The sequence below is a fragment of the Homo sapiens genome, chromosome 1 (assembly GCF_000001405.40).
Source record: "Homo sapiens chromosome 1, GRCh38.p14 Primary Assembly".
NCBI classification, from domain to species: Eukaryota; Metazoa; Chordata; class Mammalia; order Primates; family Hominidae; genus Homo; species Homo sapiens.
In genome coordinates, this window is record NC_000001.11 from 38,533,044 (window position 1) to 38,543,594 (window position 10,551).

Consider the following 10,551-nt stretch of genomic DNA (forward strand, 5'->3'; position numbering starts at 1 on the left):
AATAGAGGGAAGTAGGAGACTGAGGCAATTGAGGATGGTTCAGAGCCTGCTGGCCACAGTTGACCACGCCCAATGTGCATCTGGCTCTTTCCAACCTGTTGACTTGTCTATATGGTTCTTGTGATCAAGAGTCCTCCTGGCAACCGGGTGCGGTGGTTCATGCCTGTAATCCCAGCACTTTGGGAGGCCGAGGTGGGCAAATTACCTGAGGTCACGAGTTCGAGACCAGCCTGGCCAACATAGTGAAACCCCATCTGTACTAAAAATACAAAAAAAATTATCCGGGCACGGTGGTGTGTGCCTATAATCCCATCTATTCAGGAGGCTGAGGCATTAGAATCGCTGGAACCCGGGAGGCGGAGGTTGCAGTGAGCAGAGATCATTTCACTGTATTCTAGCCTAGATGACAGAGCAAGACTCTATCTCAAAAATAAAATTACATTAAAAAAATAGAGGCCTCTCCCCTGGCATCTCATGCAGAAATGTTAAGAAAGAGGCTAAGTGTTCAGCTGCTCTAGCCAGTCAATCTAGGTTCCAATTCAGGCATTGCTGCCTATTAATTTTTTGACCGTGGGCAAGTTATTTCATCTCTCTGAACCTCAGTCTTCTCATCTATAAACAGGGATGATATTAATAGCGCCTATCTCATAGTGTTGTAATGATTAATTCAGCTCATATACTTAAAAGATTCCAAACACATAGTAAAATCTTAGTAAATCTTAGTTCTTACTAGCTGGGAAGCAATGTATTCTAGAGCAATGGCTTTCTCATATTTTTTGACTATGACTGCAGTAAGAAATATAGCTTACATCATGACCCAGTACATAAAAATATACATGTCATTGTTGTGTATATGTATATACACATGTGTACATAAACATACACACACACACACACACAAACACACATATATATTTCATTAAATGCTAGTTATCCTTGCCTATGTAATGCAGTCATATTTTCCATTTTAGCCTATTTCACTTTTTATCTTTTGAAGGCACACGATCAGATCTATGTCATCTTTGAAAGTACTAGCTGCAACTCACTAAACGGATTTCATGACTCACTACTGAGTCTCAGTCAGCAGTTCAAAAGATTCTGGCCTAATGGAAAGCATATAGATCTTGGTGCAAGAAAAACCTCGGGTCCAGTCTCAGCTCTGCCACTTTTTACTTGTGTAACCACAGGTGGAGTTTTATTGTTGGTTGAATCTGATCTTCAGTTTCCTCATCTGTAAAATGAAGATAGTGTTCATCTTACTGGATTATAACATGGCCTAGGACCAGGCACTTAGTAGGTACTCAGTAAGTTGTAGCTTTCGTGATTTATCTGCTTCTCTATGCAGATGAGACTCTGAGACAATCTTGCCTCCATTACCAATGCCTTTGGGACCTCCAAATGCAATTACCACGAGGCCCTTTGTCTCAGGACTTGGTATGGAAGCAGCTTCGAGGTCTGTGATGCCTTCGCTTAACAGCATGCTTCCAAGTCCTGCTATTTGGATTTGATTTTTTAAAGTACTTCCTTTATTTTAATTCAGACCCCAGGGACCTGGAGAGTACACCGCTGCTTTTTCCCAATAAAAATCAGACCAGCAATAAGTATATTGCATCTGAAATGGTGAAGCTGGGCGCGCCTTCAAAGGGCACGCATTAGGACTTGGCTCACTCCCAGCCTGGGTTAGAGCATCAATTTCCCTGGAGGAAATGGGAAGTCCTGCCACAGTCTTGCAGGCTGGTCGGCTGTAAGAAAACTTGGCTTTAACCAACTGCTTTATGACGGGGCCAGTGAGGCACTAAGAGGAGAAAGAAATTGTCTGAGTTACACAGCGTATGAGTGGCAAATTGGGACTTAACGCCCTACAACTTATACCTCATCTTGGAAATCTGAACAAGAAGGAATTATCCAAGAGGGTCAGCCCTCTTGGTCTCCCGCGCCTGGCTGTAAGAGAGCTCCTCTTTGCTAAACAGGACTTAGTTATCAGAGGCATTTTCATTCCTGGGGAGGACAATTTCAAGACTGATAATCTTACAAAAACAATTTCAGTAGTTAAAAATTTTTTTAAATATGTATCACTCACTAGATGCCAGGCATCATTTTAACTGTTTAACACATCTTCATTCATTAATTTTCTCAGCCCTATGAGATAAATCCTATTATCCCTGGTTTTAGGAGTATATTAGAAAAACAGAGGCACAAGGGGATGAAGTGATTTGCCCAAATTCCCATAACTAGGAAGCAACAGATCTGAGATTTGAACCCAGGTAGTCTGACTCGGGTCTGTAACCTTAAATGCCACAGCCCCCTGGGACTAGCATGAGTAGCTAACGCAAGGTCAGGCTACAATGGCCTGTGCAGCTCTCTACCTGTGCCCGGAGCTGTCTTTTCTAGAAGCTGCAAGGACAAAAATTGTGAAAGACCCTCCATTCTGAAACAGTACAAGGGCCAAATAACCTGAGAGGAAAGAAGTTGTTTGTTTGTCAATGGTACCCTCCTGTTTGAGAGCAGGGTGGTGGCTCCTGACCCATTCATCAAACAGACATTTTCTTTCTTTTCTTTTCTTTGTTTTTTTTTTCAAATGGAGTCTCATTCTGTCACCCAGGCTGGAGTGCAGTGGTGCAGTCTCGGCTCACTGCAACCTCCACTTTCCAGGTTCAAGAGAGTCTCCTGCTTCAGTCTTCCGAGTAGCTGGGATTACAGGCGTGTACCACCACACCCGGCTAATCTTTGTATTTTTAGTAGAGACAGGGCTTCACCATGTTGGCCAGGCCAGGCTGGTCTCAAACTCCTAACCTCAAGTGATCCACCTGCCTCGGCCTCCTAAAGTGCTGGGATTACAGGCAGAAGCCACCACACCCGGCCAAACACGTATTTTCTAAAGACCATGCCAGGCACATGGCTGGGCTCTGAGGACTCAAAGATGCACACAATCTCTGCCCTAAAATAGGTAACAACCTAAGAACCAAAAGGTTGGTAATGACCCTTTTGAAGCTCTTGCTGTGGGTCAAACATGGTGTTCAGGGCTTCCTACACACAACATCATTGTCTCCTCCTATTGAGCCTGACATTTGCTATGGTTTGAATGTCGCCTCCAAAACTCAGGTTGAAATGTAATTGCCATTATTATGATGTTCAGAGGTAGGACCTTTAAGAGATTAGGTCATGAGGGCTTTGCCATCATGAATGGACTAATGCCGTTATCGAGGGAGTGGGCCAGTTATCTCAGGAGTCCAGCCCCTTTTTCTCTCCCGAGCATGCTCTCTTGCCATATGATGCCTTCTGCCATGTTATGGTGCAGCAAGAAGGCAGATGTGGCCCCTCAATCTTGGACTTCTCAGCCACCAGAACTGTGAACCAAATAAATTATATTCTTTGTAAATAATCCAGTCTCTGGTGTTCTGTTATAGCAGCAGAAAATGGATCAAGGCAATATTAACACCCCTTTTTGTAACTGAAGTCAAAGTGGGTGAAACTAGGATTTAAACCTAGGTTTGCCTGACTCCAAAGCTTTTATTCTCAACCACAAAATCATACCCAGTTCCCACCCCAGGGAGTAGAAATCAGCTAAGTGGATATTGTAGTTACTACCCCAACATCCAGCCCACCCATCCTCTATTGTAAAATAGCCTGTGATGTGGCTGGGAGAGTTCTTGGTCTAAATGAATCTAGAATATGTCATTCCCTTCCATGGTGATTGGTTCATAAACCAGATTTAAGCCAGTTAGTATATGGCATGAACACATGCACATGAGTTGATCTGGAGTAATCTAATCAGAGAGAAGCTCTGGCCTATCTTCTGATCATTGCAGGAAGGGTTATTGTTTCTTTCATTGTAAATGTGCGTGGTAAGCACGAAGCCCCAGTTGCTGTTGGCCACCATCTTGCAACCAATTAGAAAGCCAGATTGAGGACGGAGCCAGCTCTTAGAAGAGTACAGAGGGGAGACCAGAGCTAAGAAACAGAGGCAGAGCCCTGAAAACAATGCCTGAAGCTTACATGACCTACTTCTCAATTTATTTATGTGAGTCAAGGTGTCCTCTTTGATGTTTAAGTCAGTTTACTTACTTGCAAATGAGAACATCCTAACTAATATATAAGGTGTTTGGGAGAGATTGAGATTTATGAAGTTCACAGTCATCATCCTAAACTTCTCATCTATTTGCCAAGTAAATACAACAAAACTGCCAGATAATTCATAAGTGAAAAAATGTACAGATTTGGCTGATAAAATTCTTTAAAAGAATTTTAATTCTCCAAAACACAATATAAATGTAACTAAAGAACATGCAACAAACTACAAAACATATTTGCTGCCCATTTGACAATTAAGAAGTATATCTCCATGAATTTGTATAAACTAATAAGAAAAAGAAGAGCACCTCTATAGAAAAGAAATGAGCTAGGACATGAGCATTTCTTGAACTGGAAGAAAGAGAAATGAATAAATAAAAGTGTATTCCAACAGTGTGATATCTCAATGTTTCCCTGTTATATGAGAAAGGAGTAGAAGAAATGATAATACTCACAGTTGGAGAGAATGTATAAAAACTCACACTCTCATGCCCTTTGGATTGGGTGTAAATCTGTACCACTTCTCTGGGGGACAATCTAGCAATAGGTATAACAATTTTAAAAATATGCATACAGGGGTGGGGCATGGTGGCTCATGCCTATAATACCAGCACTTTGGGAGGCCAAGGCAGGCGGATCACCTGAGGTCAGCAGTTGGAGACCTGCTTGGCCAAAATGGTGAAACCCCGTCTCTGCTAAAAGTGCAGAAATTAGCCGGGCGTGGTGGTGGGTGCCTGTAATCTCAGCTACTTAGGAGGCTGAGGCAGGAGAACTGCTTGAACCTGGGAGGCGGAAGTCACAGTGAGTAAGTCGCAGTGAGTCGAGATGGCAACACTGCACTCCAGGCTGGGTGACAAGAGCGAAACTCCATCTCAAAAAATAAAAAATAAAAATAAAAATATACATACCATTAGAATCACCTACTTCTCTTGAAATTTCATCTAAGGAAATAATACAAATAGTATGCAAAACTTATGTATTTGAAGATATTCATTGCATTTTTTTGGTAATAATGAAAATTAGAAAACATAAAAATATTTTACAGTAGGGGAATTGGTAAAATAAATTGTGGCCATCTCATATAATGAAGTTCCATGCTGCTACTTTAAAAGACAATATAGATATATAAAAAATGAATGATATACTGCTTAGTTATAAAAGCAGGTTGCAAAACAAATATATACAGGTTGAGTATCCCAATGCAAAAATACAAAATTTGAAATACTCTAAAACCTGAAACTGTTTGAGCACTGAGAGATGCCACAAATGGAAAATTTCACACCCAATCTCATGTGATGGGTCATAGTCAAAATGCATTGTCTCATACACAAAATTATTAAAAATATTGCATAAAATTACCTTCAGGCTATGTGTGTAAGGTGTATATGAAACATAAATGAATTTTGTGTTTAGACTTAGGTCCCCTACCCAAGATATCTCATGTACATGTAAATATTCCAAAATCTGAAAAAATCTGAAATCTGAAACCTTTCTGGTCCTAAGCATCTCCAACAAGGGACACTCAACCTGTATTTATTGTATGTTTTATATATATATATAATGTGAATGTATGTTATACATATATAATATTAATATTATGTATAAATTAATTAATATATAATTAATTAATATAATTAATATATAATATATAATGTTAATGTACATTATACATATATAATATTAATGTATGTTATATATATAAATGATAAAAAATATTTTATCTCTGTTTAAAATTGGAAGCATCTAAAAACAGAAAGCATTATTCTAAAAGTGTTTTTTACAATTTAAAAAAACCTACTCCTGTAATAATGAATGAACAGGTTACTGCGGTGTGTGGAAACCCGTGCTGGTGTGATCTGTAGCCTGGAAGTATCAGGCTTGCTGAACAGGGTGGGGCTGATCCCCACAGAGGATGGGAAATGACCCTATCAGAGGCCATGTCATGTTGTGAGACACTTGTCTCATGGGAGGAAGGTCACTCGCCACCCTGCTGAACGAGCTTCAGGTGCCCAGAGCAAAAGGGAATCTGGAAGGAAAAGTGCAGCAAGAGTGAGGAGTGTTAGCTCTGAAGCTTTTCAAAAGAGCTGCAGTTTCTCAAAAGTTGTTACACTAAATCCTAATGACAAATGATTTTTGTCATAACTCCATCCATAGATCAGAAAAGATTTCCTGATAAATATAAATGTAATATACATTTTTATAATTACATAATACTTTTAAGATATTTTGCTAATTCTCAGTGTGAAAATTCATAAAGAAAATGCCATATTGTGTTTGCATCACTGAATGGATAGGTTTTATGTAAGTTTATTTTTTTCCATTTTCTGGTAAAAAGCGACATTTTTGACAAATACAATATGATGCCATTTGTAATGTATACATCAATAGATTCACAGGACATATTTACATTAAATTTTTTTACCTTTTATGGTTTCTTACCACATACTACATATCATAGCTTCCATTTTAATGTAATTTTCCATCATTGTATTCCTTTGAAGTTAAAAATCTAAATCTCAGAAATATTGTTAATGTAAAATAAGTCAGAATTTAGACCTTCTAGGTATCTGATCTGTGTGTGTGTGTGTGTGTGTGTGTGTGTGTGTGTGTGTGCTCATGCATGTCAAAATATTAGCAATGGCTGTCCGTGGGTGGTTGGATTATGGGTAATTTACATTATTATTTTTTTCTTTTTTTGACTTGCCAGCATTTTCTAATATTTTTTATGCTGTTAATACTAGGAGTAAAAATTCAGGTTAACATACTCAGATATTTATGAAATGTTACTTTCTTTATCTTTTTCCTGTGAGTTTAACTCCTGCTTCTAGCTGCTCTTCCTCTTTGTGGCAGAAAATCTTATTCAAATCAGAGTCTCCACTCTCATTTTCCCAGGTTCTCTCAGGGCTTACAAAGTACTAAGCCACGAGAGGGCAAGAGTCCTCTGCTTTACCCACACTGGTCACTGCTACACAACCCTTGCCTAGACCACACTCCCCTCCAGGACTGGCTCCCTGCAGTGTCTTCCACGATGCCCTACTGGACAAGGGAGATCTCCGCAAGGGTCTCTCAGGCCCCCTCGCCTGTCTCCCCGGGCCGCCACTTCTAGTCAACTGCTCCCTTCATGCAGGAAAATTCTGTAAGATTTGCCTCCTCCCAGGCTCTGCTCAGAAGCAAGGCAAGAATCCTCTCTGTTCTTGAATCTCTCAATCTGAAATTGTTGTTACCTCCACCACTCCTAGCACTCAGTCTGTGTGGGACGAAGGGCAGGGCACCAAGTTCCTTCCACCCCTAGGTCACTTAGCACTTTTGCTTTTTCTCTGTTGCACTCCCCCTTTGTCCCCGAACTGCTTTCATCCAGCAAATTTTATGTAGTCCCAGAGGAGTGTGTGTGCAGGGATTTAAAAAAAAAAAAAAAGAAACTGGCTCTAAACAATCATGTACGCTTCTAAATCTTTTGTTTGTTTCTGTAAGTGAAACCTCAAGAATTCGACTTATCTGTTCTCCAATTATTATGTCACATGTCCAATTACGTACACATTTAGTTAATTTAAACAAATAAGTAAATTAAAACAGAAAACAGCAAAGTTCGTTCTTGCTCTCCTTTTATCTTGCACGATTATTGTGAGACTCAAGTAAATAACAAATGTGAGCGATAATTCAATACTGCTCTGCTAATGTATCAGGTAGTATTCTTGGTGCTTTGCCTGTATTAATTTTGCAAATCCTCAAAATAACCCTTAAAGTAGGTACTATTATTATTCTTACTTTGTAGATGGATAAACTTTGTAGATGAGCTGAATAGAGATTATGTAATCTGCCCAAGGTCACCCTGCTTACTAGTACCAGAGCCAGGATTCAAATCCAGGAGTTGGGCTTCAGGGTCCGTACATCTCCAGATTGATAAACTTAAGCTGTTTATGATGCTATGTGCTAATGCGAGGTGAAGCATATTTCCAAAGGTCACCCAGCTAATTTAACAGGTTCAAACCTGGGACTAGATGCCAGTTCTTCCACTTCCAAGTCCATCTTTTTCTTTTGCATTTCTGATTTTTGAGATTGACAGAGCTGATGATTTTGCAAACCAAGGCCAAGGTAAAACTCCCCATCACTTCCACACAGGATGTCTGGGACAGCTTTGCTCTGATTTGTGAGTGTAATCCATACTGGGACTGTCATTGCTTAAGATTCTTAATAGACACGATTGTCAGGTCCAGCTCTCAGGTTCAAAAAGAAAAACTGTTCAAGAACAAGACAGGGAAGGAGAGACTTAGCAGCTACAGCCAATGGGAAAATTCTCAGCAGAGATTTTTCACGGTCATGGAGCTGAGAATGAGTCAGCATTCTAGGTGGGGGTTCTCAGATGCTCCTGGGCTATATTGACACATGTTTCCTGGTGTCTTAAACAGGGATGTGAGGGTCCTGCTCTCATCTGTCACTGGAGCCTAGGCTCATTTTGGGACTCTATACTTCAAGGACGGCACAACCAGCTACAGCCCCTGAGACGGGCTGCAAGTTTGGTGGAAGAGGGTTGGAAGCTGTGTCAAAGGAAGAAGAAAGAAGGATCTGAACTGGGGCTCTTATGGATGGAAAAGCACACAGTTGAGGGACATGATTGCTGTTTCCAAAACTCTGAAGGGCTGTCACAGGAAAGAGTGAGAAGACTTGGACCGTGAGGCCTAAAAGCGCAAACCTAGAGTCAAGAAGTGGAAGGGAGAGTGAGAGTGAGAATGGGAATTCAGAGGCAGAACTCAAATAAGGCGCTTAGGAGCACAAGCTTTGGAGTTAGACAACTTAGATTTGGATCTCCACTTAGCTGTTCCTTAGCCCCTCTGGAAGCATCAGCTTCCTTGTCTGAGGAACAGGAATAATAGCACACCTGCCTCAGAGAGTTCTTGGGAGCATTGACTGAGACAAGCCAGGTAAGGTGCTGAGAACTGAACATATGGAAGTGCCTTATAAATGGTCTTTGTAATAATTATTATTATCAGAGTGTTACTGTTACTTTTATTGCCAGAGCTGTTTAGCAATAGGTTGTGTGCAGATGGTAGCAAGCACCCCTACTCCTACAGATCCGTGTAAGCAGGGGTTCCAAGACTCAGCACTCAGTGAAGATATGGTGAAGTAGATTCAAGCCTTGAGGTGCAAGAAGGACTAAAGAATCTCCAATTATTTGGAATGGAGATTCTATGAATTCTGCCACGAGCCAGAAGTGCCCTTCAGAGGAACATCCCCTTCCCATTTCTGGAGTCTGGGGAGCAACATCATGTGCCTGATGCTCCTGTTTCCAATGAGAGTTACCAAGCCAATCGTTGGGAATAGCCTGGCCTTTGTCCAGCACAGATGAGCAGAGACTGCTCATTTCTTGGCAGTGACCACCAAAGGTGATGAGAACAAAGCACTCAGTGAGGGCCATAGCTCTGCCCACATGAGGTGTGACAATGAGCCAATAAACACCTCTGGGGTGCACTGAAGCAAATGCAGACCGTGAGTATCGAGCAAAATAAACTGGCTGCTGAAGGCCCTGCTGGCAGGGGTTCCCTGTGTTCCATGCATATCTGTGGAAAGCTCAGGGCTTAGCCCAAGTCTAAAGTTGAAGGGGCTCCTGGTAGCAACCTGGAGGAGGGTGGATTAACAAGGGGATGGGTTGGGGTGGGTGAGGGCATGTGCACCCTGAGTGGAGGGGGTTATGGAGGACCATGTTTTCTGGACCAGGCTTGCAGATGTGTACCCAGCCAGCCCTCATCCATGCAGGTCTGAGTCCTAGAGATGTGAGCAGTAGAAAGAAGCTATAATGTGGTTTGCAGAGAGGATATCAGTGAGACATGGGAGTTCGGGGCAGCCTTCTTAGGGCTCATCACAAAGTGCAGCTGCCTGCACGTGGACTTGTGCCATGTGCCTGTGGAAGGAAAATATTCTCCCCACTTCATCAGGACAACTTACGCATGGGTATGAGGGTGGCCAAGGACAATTTCAGGACCATCAACAGGATACTGCACCTATGGTGACAAGCAAACCTGCAGCAATATTGCTTTGCTCATTAATGAATTAGCTAGTTAATTAATTTGATATGGTTTGGCTGTGTCTCCACTCAAATCTCATCTTGAATTGTAGTTTCCGTAATCCCCACATATTGTAGGAGGGACCCAGTGGGAGGTAATTCAGTCATGGAAGTTGTTACCCTGTGCTGCTTTTCTTGTGATAGTGAGTTCTCACAAGATCTGATGGTTTTATAAGGGCTTTTCCCCCTTTTTCTCAGCACTTTCCTTCCTGCCAACGTGTGAAGAAGGACGTATTTGCTTCCCCATCCACCATGATTGTAAGTTTCCTAAGGCCTCCCAGCCCTGCAGAACTGTGAGTCAATTAAACCTCTTTCCTTTATAAATTACCCAGTATCTGGCAGTTCTTTATAGGAGCATGAGAATAAACTAATACATAATTAGGTGATATTTTACTGATTACCTAGTGTGATGGTGAATTTTA